This window comes from Homo sapiens, chromosome 17, assembly GCF_000001405.40.
Source record: "Homo sapiens chromosome 17, GRCh38.p14 Primary Assembly".
NCBI classification, from domain to species: Eukaryota; Metazoa; Chordata; class Mammalia; order Primates; family Hominidae; genus Homo; species Homo sapiens.
In genome coordinates, this window is record NC_000017.11 from 10,644,039 (window position 1) to 10,661,725 (window position 17,687).

The 17,687-nt window shown below is 49.9% G+C and overlaps 1 protein-coding gene across 4 annotated transcripts in view; it reads right to left on the reverse strand.

The window, feature by feature from the left end:
- MYH3 (myosin heavy chain 3) overlaps positions 1-17,687 on the reverse strand; it is a 49,886-nt gene that overhangs the window by 15,507 nt on the left and 16,692 nt on the right. The window contains exons 3-16 of one of the 4 annotated variants that reach the window (XM_047436127.1): positions 13,251-16,230; positions 12,052-12,110; positions 10,823-11,034; positions 8,382-8,525; positions 7,474-7,630; positions 6,336-6,363; positions 5,539-5,647; positions 4,519-4,611; positions 3,325-3,388; positions 3,144-3,242; positions 1,891-1,994; positions 1,669-1,807; positions 546-664; positions 313-462 (exon numbers count right to left, since the gene is read on the reverse strand). In XM_047436127.1, the coding sequence (XP_047292083.1) occupies positions 313-462; positions 546-664; positions 1,669-1,807; positions 1,891-1,994; positions 3,144-3,242; positions 3,325-3,388; positions 4,519-4,611; positions 5,539-5,647; positions 6,336-6,363; positions 7,474-7,630; positions 8,382-8,525; positions 10,823-11,026 (1,410 nt within the window). In that variant the 5' untranslated portion in view covers positions 11,027-11,034; positions 12,052-12,110; positions 13,251-16,230. Of the gene's footprint in view, positions 1-312; positions 463-545; positions 665-1,668; positions 1,808-1,890; positions 1,995-3,143; positions 3,243-3,324; positions 3,389-4,518; positions 4,612-5,538; positions 5,648-6,335; positions 6,364-7,473; positions 7,631-8,381; positions 8,526-10,822; positions 11,035-12,051; positions 12,111-13,197; positions 16,231-17,687 lie in introns of those variants that run through there. The other 3 variants (NM_002470.4, XM_011523871.3, XM_011523870.4) reach the window with 3 other exon arrangements.

Genomic DNA, 17,687 nt, shown 5'->3' on the forward strand with positions numbered 1-17,687 from the left:
AATCCCAGCTATTCAGGAGGCTGAGGCAGGAGGTTCACTTGAACTCAGGAAGAGGTTGCAGTGAGCCGAGATGGCGCCACTGCATTCTGGCCTGAGTGACAGGGTGAAACTCAGTCTCAAAAAAAAAAAACAAACAAAAAACCCTAATACAAACCCTTCCAATAAGTACCGCTCCTCTATTCCATCCACTCTCCATCTAGTTTCTTACAGGAAACTAAGACAGCCGCCATCTTGCTATCTTCCCTTTAGGATCATGAAACCAATTTCCCTCATATGAAGCCATATGAAAATATGAATATAAGTAACACAAACCTCAAAGATTTCAAAGCCTGCAATGTCCAAAACACCAATGAAGTGTTGTCTTGGAAGCTTCGTATCCAGTTGCTGGTTAATGCGAGTGACCATCCACAAGAACAACTTTTCATAAACTGATTTTGAAAGAGCATTCACAGCATGGTGAACCTATCAGGGGAAAGATCAGCTACTGGATATGAAGGAAGTGGCCAGCAGGGTCCTGCACCCTTTCCCGGCCTTGAAGCTGTTACCTGATCCACAGTTTGACCTTTGGTAACGTACTCATTCCCAACTTTCACTCTAGGAAAGCACAAAGCTTTTAGGAGGTCCGAAGAGTTCAGGCCCATCAGATAGGCTGTTTTGTCAGCCACTGGCAAGAAAACAAGGACAGTGCTTAGAAAAGTAGAAGAGCTGCTTTGAAAATCATCCAGAAGTTTCAAAGGTTGGTTAAGTTCATCTTGGTACATTGTGCATTCCCTGTGGCTAAACTGCATATACATGGCCAATGGAAGCTAAGTCACTCAGAGAATATAATGGACTTTATGAAAAGCCAGGGCTGGGTCTCAGAAAGCCCTGGTCATCCCTCACTGCATCTGAAACAAGACTATTCGAGTGATTCAGGAAAAGCGAGTGGTAACAATAGCTATGGGCATCGGAGGCCCAGAAAGGGTCATTCACTTCTCCAGATGGAAGGATTAATCGCTTCCATCCATTTTTTTTTTTTTGAGACAGTCTTACTGTGTTGCCCAGGCTGGAGTGCAGTGGCACGATCTCAGTGCACTGCAACCTCTGCCTCCTGGGTTCAAGAAACTCTCATGCCGGCAGGGCACAGTGGCTCACACCCGTAATCACAGCACTTTGGGATGCCAAGGCAGGCGAATCATTTGAGGTCAGGAGTTTGAGCCTGGCCAACATGGTGAAACCCCGTTTCTACTAAAAATACAAAAAAGTTAGCCAGGCGCGGTGGTGTGTGCCTGTAATCCCAGCTACTCGGGAGGCTGAGGCAGGAGAATCACTTGAACCCAGGCAGCAGAGGTTGCAGTGAGCTGAGATCATGCCACTGCACTCTAGCCTGGATGACAGAGCAAAACTCTGTCTGACTCTCGTGCCTCAGCCTCCTGAGTAGCTGGGATTATAGGCATGCTCCACCATGCCCAGCTAATTTTTTTTAGTAGAGATGGGGTTTCACCATGTTGGCCATGCTGGTCTCGAACTCCTGACCTCAGGTGATCTGGCCCCCTCAGCCTCCCAAAGTGCTGGGATTACAGGTGTGAGCCACTGTGCCTGGCTGGATTAATTGCTTTCAAAAGCAGTACCAAGTGACCTCAGCAGATCAGCCACCCGCTCTGGTTTGCTGTCACACTGATTTTGTACCTTCTGTGCCATCCGGCTCGGCCTGCTCCTCTCGCTGCTTCTGCTTGAACTTCATGTTCCCGTAGTGCATCACGGCTCCCGTCAGCTTGTAGAGCCCAGATTTCTCTTCTGGGGTGAAGCCCAGGATGTCAATGGCGCTCTGGCATGGAAAGGGCAGCACGTCAGTCAGTTGGCCCCAGTGATGGAGGAGGAACACCCACCCCTTCTGTTGGTTCCACTTACGTCTGTAGCCAGCAGCTCCTCTGCATCATCTATGCTGGCCACCAGGATCTCCCCCTGGCTAATGAACGGGTAGTCGTAAGGGTTGGTCGTAATAAGCAGCAGCTCTGAAATGACAAATAGTTCCAGGAGGTTATGCAGATGCAAAGAAAAAACCCACCCAGTGGACTTGAGCTCCTGCACCCTGGGCTGGAACTTTTACCGCTGGATCCTAAATTGAACTTAGAATTAAAAATCTTTTAGACAGTTCCACAATACTCAGGCTGTCATGGAAAATATAGTCCAGGGAAGACTTTTCAGTCTCCCACACAATGGAGATGAAGGACCCTAGAGAGAACCTTTAAATTCCCTTGCCTTGCACGCTAATGGTGCATATCAGTGTCGGCTGGGAGAAGTTAATAGGGAAAACTGGCTGAGTGCGGGTCAGGACGAGAGCCAACCCAGGTGGTTTGGTATAATCATAGCCTTTTCTAAAATCTGTTGAAAAGCAGCAGCCTGTTTCCAAGCTGGAGACCAGAAGGCTGAGCAAATACAGCCAAAGAGCAAAGAAGCAGTGTGCATGGAGACCTCTGTGAGGGGCAGACAAGGGGCAGTGTGCAGTGCCTCCGTGGGCTTGATTATTCTGTTTGCTTTGGCGTCGCATTTGGCCATAGGTTGTTTCTGTGCCAGAACACAAGGGGGCGCCAAAGGACAGTTAGGTGTTCAGTTGCTCAGAAGGTTTTTATAAACCAGAGCTGGTCAGGAGTGGTCTAATCTTGTTGCCCTCCATTTGATTAGGTTTTCAAATTGGCATGTCACTGCCCAGATAGCCACATCCCATTTCTAAAATAAGCTTTTCCTGGCAAAGTGCAGTGGCTCACACCTATAATCCCAGCACTGTGGGAGGCCGAGTCGGGCAAATTGCTTGAGCCCAGGAGTTCAAGACCAACCTGGGCAACATGGTGAAACCTCATCTCTACAAAAAACACAAAAGGTAGCCTGGTGTGGGGGCATGCACCTGTAGTCGCAGCCACTCGGGAGGCTGGGGCTGGAGGATTACTTGAACCCAGAAAGGTCAAGACTACAAGTGAGCTGTGCTTGTGCCACTGCACCCCAGCCTGGGCATCAGAGTGAGACCCTATCTCAAAATAAATAAATAAAATAAAATAAACTTTCCCTGTTGACTGTAGAGTCACTCTACGTAGATACAACTCTCCTTGGTCTAGTGATCAGAGTCAAACTACCTAAAAGACCAGCCCCACTGGTGACTTCCTCACCTATGAGCTCAGGCTTCTTGTTAGAAAGAATCTGGTAGAAGATGTGGTAGCTTCTTTCAGCCTTCAGCTGGAAAGTGACTCTTGATTTTTCCAGAAGATCTGGAACACAAACACAGGACTCTCTTTCAAACTGTTCCCAGTTAACTCTGAGACGCCATCGAATCCCCATGGATCTACTTACAAGTTTCAATATCTGCAGAGGCCAGCTTCCCAGTGGTTCCAAAATGGATTCGGATGAACTTGCCCTGTATGGGGCGGGATTCAGGGGGAGACCAGATTCTACCATGGCCCAATAGTTCCTATTCATCTTATGGGTAATTTGAGTAGGAGCCTAGTCCCCCTAAAATTTTTGTTTTGTTTTGTTTTGTTTTGTTATGTTTTTGAGACGGAGTCTCGCTCTGTCACCAGGCTGGAGTGCAGTGGCGTGATCTCGGCTCACTGCAACCTCTGCCTCCCGGGTTCAAGTGATTCTCCTGCCTCAGCCTCCTGAGTAGCTGGGACTACAATCACGTGCCACCACACCTGGCTAATTTCTGTATTTTTAATAGAGACGGGGTTTCACCATGTTGGCCAGGATGGTCTCGATCTCTTGACCTCGTGATCCGCCCGCCTCGGCCTCCCAAAGTGCTGGGATTACAGGCGTGAGCCACCGTGCCCAGCACCCCCTACAGTTTGAAATTAGATATGTCCTTCCTCTTCTCCCTTCTTCTTCTTCCAGTTTGGGGTTTTCCTTATTTCCTTTTATTTATCCCTTTTATTCTATGCTCATCCCCCACTTCAACGTATCTAGTCAACAAAGCAACTACAGTGATTGTTTCAAGGTGTAAATCAAACCATATCACTCCCTGGCTTATAGAATCCCTCAGTAGCTTCCTGTTACACTTCAAAAGGAATCCAAACTCCTTCTCATGGCCTGTGGCTCCCACATGACCAGGTCTCTCTCTCTTCCACCTCATCTCATGGAACTGGCCCCCCTGCCCTCCTCCCTACAACCACACAGACCCTCTGTAGGTGCCCTGACTGCACCAGGCCCTCCCCCATGTCAGGGACTGCCCTGGCCCTTCCTTCGTTCCCCCTCCTTCCTGTCATTTCAAGTTGGGCTCTTTCTCATACTGCGGCTCTCAGCTCCCGTGCCAGCCCCACAGAGAGGTCTTCCCTGCCCACCCTGCCTAAAGCAAGCCTGGCCCCCAGTTCCTCTCTTACACACGCTGTTCATTGAACTTGGTCTGAATTTATCTTTATCTGAAATGGTCTTGTTGGGTTGTTTTGTTTTTCATCATCTGTTGCCTCTGGTCTCTACACTCTTTGAGGACAGGGCTCTTGCCTATTTTGTGAGGCACAAAGCAAATTCCATCTTAACCAAACTCAGACTCACAAAACGGGAGGAGTTGTCATTCCTCACAGTCTTGGCGTTCCCAAAGGCCTCCAGCAGGGGATTGGCACTGATGATTTGATCTTCCAGAGTCCCCTAATGCAAGAAATTGAGGGAAGAAGAGGAAACATTTTTTTTTGAGATGGAGTTACACTCTTGTTGCCCAGGCTGCAGTGCAATGGCACGATCTTGGCTTACTGCAACCTCCACCTCCCGGGTTCATGTGATTCTCCTGCCTCAGCCTCCCGAGTACCTGGGACTACAGGCATGCACTACCATGCCCGGCTAATTTTGTATTTTTAGTAGAGATGGGGTTTCTCCATATTGGTCAGGTTGGTCTCGAACTCCTAACCTCAGGTGATCCACCCGCCTCGGCCTCCCAAAGTGCTGGGATTACAGGCGTGAGCCACCGAGCCCAGCCTGAGGAAACATGTTTTTAAGCCACAGAATGACAGTAAAAAATGCTCACCCACTCTGTGACTCTGGCTTGCCCTGATAAAGCCCCACCCTCCTTGACTTTCCAATCCTAGGACCAACCAAATCAGCAGCATGTCTTACTCAAAACACTTTTGCCATTTTGTTATATTTGGCACTACAGTTGGGGATCTCTTGACTGAGCATTCCTTTAACACTTCAATCCCTTGATTCTCCAGTCAGTTGTCCGTATTCATTTCATGCTGCTGTAATACATTTGTTTCAAAAGCCCAGGATATGCTGTGAGTCACTCACATTGGTATATGTGATTCTTCCACAAAAGAACAAGCTCTCTGAGCCGTCTGCAGATTGACCTCTGAAGTTTAGCCCTAGAGCCTTGTCTTCTAAGAAATCCCGGGATCTAGTCCTACAAGACCAACTTGACACTGCGTTGTCTAAGGTGACTGGCTGTCCTTCAAGATAGTAAATCCTAGCCTGTTCTCCATTCTCTGAAGAGGGGGGAATGTGAGGACATTTGGCCCCCTCATTCTGAGGTTAAGACCACAGTTAAAAGTGGAAGCAAAGCAAGCCTTCCTCTCCCATCTATACCTTCATTTTGGAGTCCTTCTTCTTGGCCAGGTCCCCAGTAGCTGCAATTGTTGCAAAGTACTGGATGACCCGTTTGGTGTTCACAGTCTTTCCTGCCCCGGATTCTCCGCTGTACAGAGTGATCAAAAGAGAGAGAAAGAAACAAGTCTGTTAGTATAAACAGGCTTTTCAGGATGTCATACTGAGGCCTGGGCATGGTCTGAGCCATCTCTGACACACACTCACCACACTAATGTGACAGACCACTTGAGAAGGCAGACGCCCAGGGCACAGGTGCCACAGGCACTTGCTCAGCTGACCCAAGGATGGGTAATTCCATTTTTCTGAGGCCTTATGCAGACCTTCCTCCCCATCCCCAAATCGATCTTTTTATTTTTTATTTATTTATTTTTCTCTTTTATTTTTTATTTTTTGAGACAGAATCTCACTCTGCTGCCCAGGCTGGAGTGCAGTGGCGCGATCTCGGCTCACTGCAAGCTCCGGCTCCTGGGTTCACGCCATTCTCCTGCCTCAGCCTCCTGAGTAGCTGTGACTACAGGTGCCCGCCACCACACCCAGCTAATTTTTTTGTATTTTTTTTAGTAGAGGCAGGGTTTCACCGTGTTAGCCAGGATGGTCTCGATCTCCTGGACCTCGTGATCCGCCCATCTCAGCCTACCAAAGTGCTGGGATTACAGGTGTCAGCCACCGCGCCCAGCCTGATCTTTTTATTATAGACTCTGCTCCAAACACTTTCTAATGAACAGAATAGAGCCAGTGGCACAGCTATGAAACCACTCTATGCCATGGATACTTACGTGATCAGAATGGACTGGTTTTCACGATCTGCCAGAGGAAAAAATAAAATAGAGTTGATGGCAATAGAAAAAGAGCTTCCCGATTCTACCCAACTCTCAAGTAGCCAGAGTTAAATTGCACAATTCCTCTTCCTTTACATTTTTTGTTTAGCCTTTAGGTGGGAATCTGAAGAGCCTCCATCTGCTTTTTATTTTATTTTATTTTTAATTGACAAACAATATTTGTATATATTTGTAGGGTACAACATGATGATTTGATATATGTTTATATGGCAGAATGATTAAATCAAGCTAATTAACAAATCCGTCACCTCACATACTTATTTTTTTGTGGAGAAAACATTTAAAATATACTATTTTAGGGATTTTGAAATATACAATGCATTATTACTTATCGGAGTCACCATTCTATGGGACAGATCACCAGCACCGATTTCTCCTTTCCAGCTGTATCCTTTGGTCAATATCGAAAGCCTCCTTCTTGAGACTGAGACTCAGAGAGGGCAAGTCTCCACTCAGAATCAGCCAGTGGCAGCCGGGTGCAGTGGCTCATGCCTGTAATCCCAGCACTTTGGGAGGCTGTGGCAGGCAGATCACGAGGTCAGGAGTTTGAGACCAGCCTGGCCAACAAAGTGACCCCTGTCTCTATTAAAAATATAAAAATAGCCGGACATGGTGGTGCATACCTGTAGTCGCAGCTACTCGGGAGGCTGAGGCAGGAGAATCGCTTGAACCCGGGAGGCAGAGGTTGTGGTGAGCCGAGATCACACCACTGCACTCCAGCCTGGGCAACATAGCAAGACTCCATCTCAAAAAAAAAAAAAAAAAACCAGCCAGTGGCTTCTCATCGTTCTTGCTGTATTAGGCTGAACTATATAAAATGATCAGTTTTTGGTTTTGATCCATGAAAACATCCATATCCGTTTTGCATATTCTAACTTGCATTAAATCCAAAACTCGTCACCTTGGCATGCGGGGCCCTACATGATGCAGCCCCTTTCTGCCTCTTTTGGCTCCTTCTTCCTCCTTTCCCTGTGCTAAACACCAGATGGGGTCCAGCCTGGGAGTAAGGGGCAACTGCCGCTCGCCTCATGCAGTGCCTGCTCCAGCATCCCATGCTTCCTCCTGGGAAACTCACCAGTCAGCATGAACTGATAGGCGTTGTCAGAGATGGAGAAGATGTGGGGTGGGGCCTCCTGGCGCTTTTTGCCTCGGTAGCCTTCCACCACCTCGGGGTTGTACACCGGCAGCCACTTGTAGGGGTTGACAGTGACACAGAAGAGGCCTGAGTAGGTCTGTGGGAGGAAAAACATATACGTGCGTATATGTATGTATGTGCATATGGAAAACCCCTTGCCTTTATTATTATTATTGTTTTTTTTTTTTTTTGAGACGGAGTCTCACTCTGTCACCAGGCTGGAGTGCAGTGGCACGATCTTGGCTCACTGCAACCTCCACCTCCCGGGTTCAAGCAATTCTCCTGCCTCAGCCTCCCGAGTAGCTGGGACTACAGGTACATGCCATCACGCCCGGCTAATTTTTGTATTTTAGTAGAGATGGGGCTTCACCATGTTGGCCAGAATGGTCTCGATCTCTTGACCTCATGATCCACCCGCCTTACCCTCCCAAAGTGCTGGGATTACGGGCGTGAGCCACCACACCCAGCTGCCTTTATTATTATCTCATGTTTCTTTGGGATAAACTTATAAAGGGGGGAGGCTACCATTCCTATTTATAGTGAGGCACTGAGACTCAAAAAGGGGAGTGGCGACCCTCCCACAGTTGGTAAGTCACAGCACCCCGTGACCAAGCCTGGCCCCAGCTTCCCCGCTCTCCGGCTCCTGGTCCTCCTTCCCACCTTCCTTCTTCCTGCCCCATCCACCTCTTGCTTTCTTGCCTTCTTTCTCCTCCGTCTTTGTGTTTTGTTCATCAGCTAGGCAAGCACTCATCTTCCAGAATCCCACGGCCCACACACATACCTCTGCCTCCCTCCCCTGCCCGCATATCTAATGCCCCAGGGAAACCACGTCGAAAGCCCTCGCTGACATAGATCATCCAAGATGTGTAACGGTCCTTCAGGTTGTACAGCACGGCTGGCTCATTCAGGTGCGTCAGCATGGCCATGTCTTCGATCCTGTCGAACTTGGGGGGGTTCATGGCGTACACATCCTCTGGTTTGACCACCAGGGTCTAAAAAGGAAGAGGCACAGTGCTTCACTAAGATGGTCTGCACGTCTTTTTTTTTTTTTTTTTTTTTTTTTTTTTTGAGACGGAGTCTTGCTTTGTCGCCCAGGCTGGAGTGCAGTGATGCGATCTCGGCTCACTGCAAGCTCCACCTCCCGGGTTCACACCATTCTTCTGCCTCAGCCTCCCAAGTAGCTGGGATTACAGGCGCCCGCCACCACACCCGGCTAATTTTTTTTATTTTTAGTAGAGACGGGGTTTCACCGTGTTAGCCAGGATGGTCTCGATCTCCTGACCTCGTGATCCACCCGCCTCAGCCTCCCAAAGTGCTGGGATTACAGGTGTGAGGCACCGTGCCTGGCCTGTCTGCACGTCTTGTCTGCTGCCCCCACCAAAAGACCAAGAGACTCTTGAGCCGAGATGGAAGGGCCAAACCCTAGAACAAGCCCAGCTCACAGCGAGAGGAGGAAAGGCTATGGGGCGGCTTGTGGTGGTGCTGATGAAATGGGGTTTGTTTCTGTTATTCAGGGTGTCTTCTTCCTCCCCATTGGGCCTGAGGTGAGAGACGGATGTCGGAAATGAGAAAAGAGGATCTGTGTGGGTGGATATGGGTGATGGTGGCTGGGAACGGGGCCAGCAGGAACCTTTCAGCTCAGTCAGTAACACTGCCTGGACCAAAATCCAGCTCCAGCAGCTGGCTCTTTCCTGTCTACTGAGAGAAAATGACGCATATGTCCCCTGCAGTCGTGAGGCAGGGACCGAAGAGAATGAGGAAGGGGCATTGGATTGCCAGGCTGGTGCCCATGGATTGCCAACATTCTGAGCTCTCTGAAAGCAGCTGTCCAGCCCCCGGCCCACCTCTTCCCCCTTCACCACCCAGCCCCAGCATGCTCAGGAAAGGGCCCCTCAGTTGCCCTCCCCACCCCTTTCCTGCCCTTTCTGGGGTCAGAGTGTTATAAGCCAGGCAAACGGCACCATGAGGCAGAGCAGTGGTTCTGAGCACCTGCACTTCTCTCAGCAGGACAAACCCCCACACCCTCGGGAAGCTGGAGGACCTCAGGCACAGGGGGTGGGGAACTTGTCTTCCTCTTCCCTGCCCTGTCCTCACCTCCTTTTTCTCTGTGACCTCCTCTGAAATGGTCAGTTTTCCTGGTTCTGTCTCTGGGCAGTGTGGATGGGAAACCTGCCTTTTCCCTGCCTTCAAGCAGGGATTCATTCAAACCATCCCGGCCAATGGGCCCTGGCTGTCTATGATGGTCTCTTAGGTTCATCTTAGATTATCATTCACTGTATCTAGCTTCCTCCTTCCCTGACGTGTTAGCAGCCCATTCTTAGCTCCTTATTGGAAATACACAGAGAGCCACCTTTTCGGAGCTCCAATGCTTGGTAGCACTGCAGGGCGGTTCTTATTTTTTGGGGGGACCGAGTCTTGCTCTGTCTCCCAGGCTGGAGTGCAGTGGCGTGATCTAGGCTCACTGCAAGCTCCACCTCCCGGGTTCACGTGCAGGGCGGTTTTTAATGCCTTTTTTCCTTCATGCCCAACCCAATGATAGTATTTCCTTTACTTGTCTCTTTTATTTTCTTTCTTTCTTTCTCTTTCTTTCTTTCCTTCCTTCCTTGCTTTCTTTCTTCCTTCTTTCTTTCCTTCCTTCCTTCCCTCCATCTCTCTTTCACTCTTTCTTTCTTTTTTCCTTTTTTTGCTTTTTACTTTTCTTGGGACTTTTCCAGATTCTCCTGATGTGGATTTTAGAAACTAGTGAGCTCCAGAATTCCTCGCAGCACCCCCACAGTGGCTTGGGCCAGAATGTAATGGGCTGCAGTGCTCATCCCCTTCATGATACAAGGAGGCTGCTATTTCACTGAGCTTGTGGTCCCCTAGGATCCCTAACACATTTTCCTTACTTCCTTGGTTAGATGGCCATTGATAGAATAATTTGGGACAAATCTAGGCTACCAAAGGAGAGTGTTCTGAAACAGCGCTCATTCATGTTGAACTCCCAACTCCACACCCTTGGGACACGTGGAGCTGGGCCCCTCTGGCCTACAGTGAACGTGGACAAAAATACCTGAAAACTAATTGTTTTAATCAGCCACAGCCAGACTCTATTCCCACCCTGGAACCTGAGGCCAGTATTCACTCTGCTTTCTCTGAGGATACCTGGGAAGCCCCAGGCTACATTGTATGCGGCATTCCAGTGCTGGAACCACATCTGGAAGTGGCTGGGGTTGGGCAGATGCATACCCCAGGCAAGCACAAGGACCAGGTGGAGGGCCAGCAGCCTGTGGAGGGTACAGAGCCTTACCCTGTTGTCCTCAGTTTCCACAGTGACCTTCCCATCCTGAGAACTCTTGATTTTCCCCTTGGCATATTCTTCCTTTGAGTCCACCACGAAGCAATACGTCTTGGCATCAAAGGGCTGGTTCTGAGCCTCGATCCTCTCCTTTTCTGACTTCCGGAGGAAAGGAGCAGCTATGCCGAACACTTCCATTTCAGTGTCACTACTCATGGTGTCAGCTGGAAGGCAAACCCACCCGGTGAGCTCAGCAGCCCCCTTGCCAGGCACCCAGCAGCTCCAGGCCTGTTTCAGCCTCCACCCTGCCCTCCTTCAGCCGCAGGAGCCCTCAGAGTCAGGGCCCCAGGAACCAGGCTGTCCTCATGCCTTGAGAAGCTCCACCCAAAGGGCTTCAGTGCTGGGAAATCACACGGGTGCATATTTATTGAGGGGCTTCTTGTGCGACAGTCTTACAGCCTATTTAACCCAAGCTCCTCAAGCATCTGAGGCTTGAACTGGCGATAAGGGGTTTGGAAGTGAGCACCACTCTTGGGACCGCCTTTTCCGCTTCTGTGACAACCAGGTGTTGCTGAGGGAACGTTTAAAAATAAACACCCTTAAAAAATAAACGCCATCTTCAAAGAGAGTGTGCTAATGGCAAACAGCAAAGATATTTTTGAACCATTTCAATCAAGGTGGCTACACGCTCGTATGCGGGAACCTGCCTTTTGCTTCCTTGGGTTGCTAAGAACAAAATCAAGCATCTGACATCAGCATCTGTTTGACAGTCCCCCAAATGCCACCTCCTCTCCCGCCTGACCTGTCCTTGCCTTTTTTTTTTGAGATGGAGTCTCACTCTGTCACAGACTGGAGTGCAGTGGCACGATCTCCACTAACTGCAACTTCTGCCTCCCAGGTTCAAGCGATACTCCTGCCTCAGTCTCTTGAGTAGCTGGGATTACAGGCACTTGCCACCACGTCCTGCTAATTTTTCTATTTTTAGTAGAGACGGGGTTTCACCATGTTGGTCAGGCTGGTCTTGAACTCCTGACCTCATGATCTGCCCACCTCGGCCTCTCAAAGTGCTGGGATTACAGGTGTGAGCCATTGCACCCGGCCACGACCTGTCCTTGTCTAAATGTGCTAGTTCCCCTGTCCCTCTGTGCCCTTATGGCCGGTGGGAGGAGGGAGAAAGGAACTGGCAAGCTTGGATTGCCTGGAGATCTCCAACAGCCGAGGGACAGGGCCCAACTTCTCACCTGAGAGTCCCACCTGCAGGATGAGAGCAGAAGACAGCAACAGCCAGGAGATCCCAGACCTGGAAGAATATGCACATACACAACTTAGCGGCACTTGGGGTGGCTGCGTCCATGTAGAATCGGCTTCTGACGAGTTAACTAAAAAGGATAAAGGGGCCAGGCGCCATGGCTCACGCCTGTAATCCCAGCACTTTGGGAAGCCGAGGCGGAAAGATGGCCTGAGGTCAGGAGTTTGAGACCAGTCTGGCCAACATAGTGAAACCCCTTCTCTACTAAAAATAAAAAATAAATTTAAAAAATTGCTGGGCGTGGCGGCAGATGCCTGTGATCCCAGCTACTCTGGAGGCTTAGGCAGGAGAATCATTTGAACCTGGGAGACAGAGGTTGCAGTGAGCCGAGATTGTGCCATTGCACTCCAGCCTGGGCGACAAGAGCAAAATTCTGTCTCAAAAAAAAAAAAAAAAAAAAAAAAGACTAATACTTTAAAGAGGCAGGCTGGAAGATGGAAGAGCAGATGGGACGTGACCCACAGGAAGCCAGGCAGGGAGGAAAAACCCTCAGCTGTGCAGAAATCTGGTTTCTCTCAGCCTGCACTGGCACCTTCTTCAGTCTTCCTCACTCCCATTTAGAATCGGACAGCAGGGACCGCATCCCTGCTTAAAGTCAACAGTTCGAGGGCAGGGGCAGGTCTCCTTGTCTGTGAACAGGCAATATCTCTGAGATTAATTTACACGCAATGCCCACAGCCAGTGTGGTCTTGAGAGGACAAGACACCTGGCAGATGTACAGCCCAGGTGGGGAAGGTGAGGGCAGAGTGAGGTCCCCAGTCCTGTTGACCCTTCATGGGTCACAGAGGCAATGGGAGAAGGTCAAGCCATGGCAGCTGGGCTCACGGGGCATCCAAAAGGATCCTGCCCAAGAGGACACTTGGAGAGGAGGACAGGGGAGAGTGTGTGGAGGAGAGAGAACCTGCAGGGCTCCTGCTTGGGGGAGGTGCTGGAGCCAGAGGGTGCTGGGTGTTTGGGCCCAGGGAACCTCGCTCTCTACACCTTGCTTATCCTAAGAAAACTCAGAAAGGCATGAGGCGCCACCTCAGCAGAGCCAGGCAGGGCCAGGGAACCACGCACGGGGTGTGGATGTGCTCACCGGGTGGGTGTGCTCCAAGCAGCTGAGACCTAGAAGAGGAGCCTGTGACTTACCTCCGCCCACAAGCGAGCCACAGAGGGCTGGCTGCTCCCCGGGGCTTTTATAGGCCATTGGTAACCCCCGCGGCTCATTCCTTCTCTATATTTGGCAAGAGGATGAGTGGCCCCCCCAAGCCGAGAACCAGCTTCTTCCACACGTATCTTTGTCGTTGCCAAGGGAAAGGTATAATTAGAAATGAGCAGGATCCATCACCATTTTCCGACCGCAGAATGTCAGGAGCTTGGGATGCCTTTCTCTGAACTTGGGGCCGGTGCTCCCTCCCCTGATGGGATGGGATGGCCTCACTCCAGGAGGAGTTGCGGGGGCAGCCACCTCCGTTCTCAGGCGCTCATCACACCCTGAACGCGGCGTGAGCCCCTAGCTATTGGGCACCAAGGACTGAAGTCGGGTGGCTTACTTAGAAATCTCATCATATGGAAAAGTGAATAAGACTGAGAGTGAAAAGTTGAAATCCTTTTTGAATTTTGAGCAAGATTTTATCACAACCTTGGGTTGTGATTGCAAAACCTGTGCCAGGAATAATTAATAATAATAATAATTAATAGCAATAATTCCCCTCCCCCCTTGCCCTCTTCTCCCTTCTCCTCCTTCTACTCCTCTCCTTCTTTCTCTTATTTTCTCCTATGCAACGTTCTGTCTCATTAGTATCATTATTAACTTAATTCTTTCTTAAGCTCTAATAGGACCAGCCAGTTAAGTTAGTGACGTGGATCTATGCTGCCAGCTCGTATTCCCGGCGACAGCTGCCTGAGGACCTGTGGCTATTAAGACAGATTACCAATTAGGAAAGACCAGCTGCTGGCTGGGATGGGGTAGGGGGAACGGTGGTGGCCTGCAGAGAAAGGGCGGACAAGGGGGGGCTGTCTAACAAATGTGGTCATCTCTAAATCAGGAGTGGAAAAATAAAGCCTCAAGAGAAGAGTAAAGTATGTCGGACGCTTTTGCCCATTCTCGTTCTACTTTTTTTTTCTTGACAAATCTTTGGGAGGATGGCTGGGTGGGCACCCTGTGGTTGCTTATTCCAAATAGAACTGTTTGTCCATGTTTCCCATAGAAACCGCCCCTTCCGTACACAGCAGTACCAAGCCCCGAAGTGGAGGCCACTCCATGAGGTCTGCGTGGGACCGGGGAGGCAGGGCTGCGGTCTCAGGGCAAAGGCACGTGTATGAAACATCCTCTGTGCTCTGGCCCTTACACACAGTGCTTCGAGAAGACGCAGAGGAAACAGAAGACGCAGCCTTTACCCTTAAGGGTTTGAATTCTAGATGATGAGTCCTGTGGATGCTACAGACGCATTTACAAAATTGAGGTGATTTCACATTGAAGCAACAAGTTTATGAAGCGCCTGTTCCGTGAATGCCAGGCAAGGCCAGTGGCCGCCAATGGAGTCAGTTGGGCAGGGCTCACTCACCCCTTGCCTGTCCACCAGCCACTGAGCGTTGCCCCCACCCACTGCCCCTCTCCCTCCAGGTGAGACTGACATGTCCATCCTTGGAGCCCCTCCTCATCCAAGGAGAGGGTAACCGTCACTCCTAAAGTGTCCGTCCATGTCGTAAAGGGAGTGGTCCCCTGGGGCTCTGCCCTGTTGGCCCAGTGATGCACTGTCTCCTTGGGAGTATTGGTCAGGACAGCCACGGACAGGTAAATATCACCGAGGGGAGCAGCGGTGTTAACAAGGTCCGTGGGGTCAGGGGACAGGGCAAGCTGTCCTGGCTACATCTCCAGCAGTGGTGTATGCAGGGCAGGCTGTGGGTGTGGCGGGGGTGGACGTGGGAACTTGCAGTTCCTACGTCAACACCCAGACCTGTTGACAGGAGGAACTGTGTGGAAATGAAATAGGGGGCAATTTTGCTTTTTCCCTTTTGCAGTGACCAATGTACTCATCTATCTATATAACTACATCCATACTCACCTCCAGGAGACAGAAAAGAAATATTCCCTTCAACATTTCTTTTAGTTCCCTTAAGAGAGCACCCATATCACGTTAGGACCTAATACAAGCTCTAAAATGCTGATGGCTTCTCGCCTGGCTTTCCACACTGTCCTTGTTTCCTTCCTTCTCTTCATCAGAATTCTTCATCTTCAGCAAACAAATATAAGTGAATCTAGGAGAAAACGTCACAGACTCCTAGAGTGTTCAGCTGTGAGATCTTGGCAGTTTCTTTTAGTCTGGATCATTCCTCCTATCTTACGTATTTATTTTTCAGTAATATAGACATCACTGGACACTTTTTATGTGTCAGGCACAGAACCCAGAACTTCCAGAGTGCTCCACATGGAGATGGCCTGGTCCCTGCCTTCAAAGAGGCATTCGTCTGTAGGGCTGAGAAGAGGAAGACACGTTCCCCCAGATGAACTGTGTGGTACAAGATCAAAGGTGTTGAGTGGACCAGAAAGGCACCCATGCTGATCGCGTTCAAATGAGGGAGAAAGAACACCCTGCTGAACCATCTCTTTGGCTGAACTGTCTCCTTTTCAGATGAGGAAACCGAAGGCAGGAGCCACAGGAAGCTTGCTGGAAGCGGTGAGAAGAGGGCCAGCGTCAGGGATAGAGGTCAGCTCTCCAGGAGAAATCCCGCAGTGGCTGGAAGGGACAGCACCCACGGCAGTCTGGAGAGCAGTTGAAAAGCTGGATATCAGGAATCACAAAGTCTGGTCATTTGGAAACGTATCTTTAGGAGAGGTGAGAACTGCATGTACTTCCACAGCAGCAGGTCGGAGCAGGAGGAGCATGGAGCTGAGAGTCCTACAGGCCTGGATGTGGATCCCGGCTTGCCCGCTTGCACACCACGTGATGGCAGGCAGTGTGCTTCTTTGAGCCTTCGTCTTCTCCTCTGTAAAACGGGGGTGACATACCTGCCTCCCAGACTAGTTATGTGCATTCAGCGGGATATCCCAACATCGCACACACCATGCCTCGTGCTGTGTTTGGTACATTGCAGGTGTTTGCCAGGTGTAAGTTTTCTTCTCTACCTGCAGATTATGGCACAGTGTGACTGGTTTTCTTAATGAGAACCCTGAGTAAATTACACTGAATATATGTCTTATTGAGATGGGGAGGGAGAAAGAGACATATGTAATATTAAAAAATAGTTTCTGGCCGGGCGCGGTGGCTCACGCCTGTAATCCCAGCACTTTGGGAGGCCGAGGCGGGCGGATCATGAGGTCAGGAGATCGATACCATCCTGGCTAACACAGTGAAACCCCGTCTCTACTAAAAATACAAAAAAAATTAGCCTGGCATGGTGGCAGGTCCCTGTATTCCCAGCTACTTGGGAGGCTGAGGCAAGAGAATGGTGTGAACCTGGGAGGCGGCGCTTGCAGTGAGCCGAGATCATGCCACTGCACTCCAGGCTGGGCGACAGAGTGAGACTCTGACTCGGAAAAAAAAAAAATTCTATCCAGCCGGGCATGGTGGCTCATGCCTATAATCCCAGCACTTTGGGAGGCCAAGGCGGGTGGATCACTTGAGGTCAGGAGTTTGAGACCAGCCTAGCTAACATGGTAAAACCCTGTCTCTACTAAAAAAAAATACAAAAATTACCTGAGTGTGGTGGTGGGTGCCTGTAATCCCAGCTATTCGAGAGGCTGAGGCAGGAGAATTGCTTGAACCCAGGAGGCAGACATTGCAGTAAGCCGATATTGTGCCACTGCACTCCAGCCTGGGCAACAGAGTGAGACTCCTTATTTTTTTTTTTGAGACAGAGTTTCACTCTTGTTGCCCAGGCTGGAGTGCGATGGCGCTATCTTAGCTCACCGCAACCTCCACCTCCCAGGTTCAAGCAATTCTCCTGCCTTAGCCTCCCGAGTAGCTGGGACTACAGGCATATGCCACCATGCCTGGCTAATTTTTGTATTTTTAGTAAAGATGGGTTTTTACCATGTTAGTCAGGCTGGTCTTGAACTCCTGACCTCAGGTGATCTACCTGCCTCAGCCTCCCAAAGTGCAAGGATTACAGGTGTGAGCCACCGCACCCAGCCTGAGACTCCATCTAAAAAAAAAAAAAAAAAAAAAAAAAAAAATTCCATCCAAAGAGAAAAATCTTAAAGAAGAGAGTCTCTTGCTGCTTCAAGAGATAGCTTCAGGAGTGAACTGGATCCTCTCTTGGAATTCATCCTCTGATGAACAGGGGACAGATGACTTAGTGGCATATTATTAGCTGGCTTTTGGGAACAGAAGGAGCCCTTATTCTTTCAGCCATCACACAGCCAGGGATAATCCCCACAGCCAGGGCAGAGCTGCATTTATCCCTTGATGGGCTGGAAAATATATGTATTGTGTCTCAAGAATGCAGGCCGGCTCAGCAGGCAATGAATCAGGTGGCTGCCCCCTTCTTCACGATGCTCGGTCACTTCCTGCCCAGCTATTTTCTCCACCGCCGCCGTTTGATGTTCAGTCCTGAGAACGGATGCTGGGGCTCCCAGCCTCG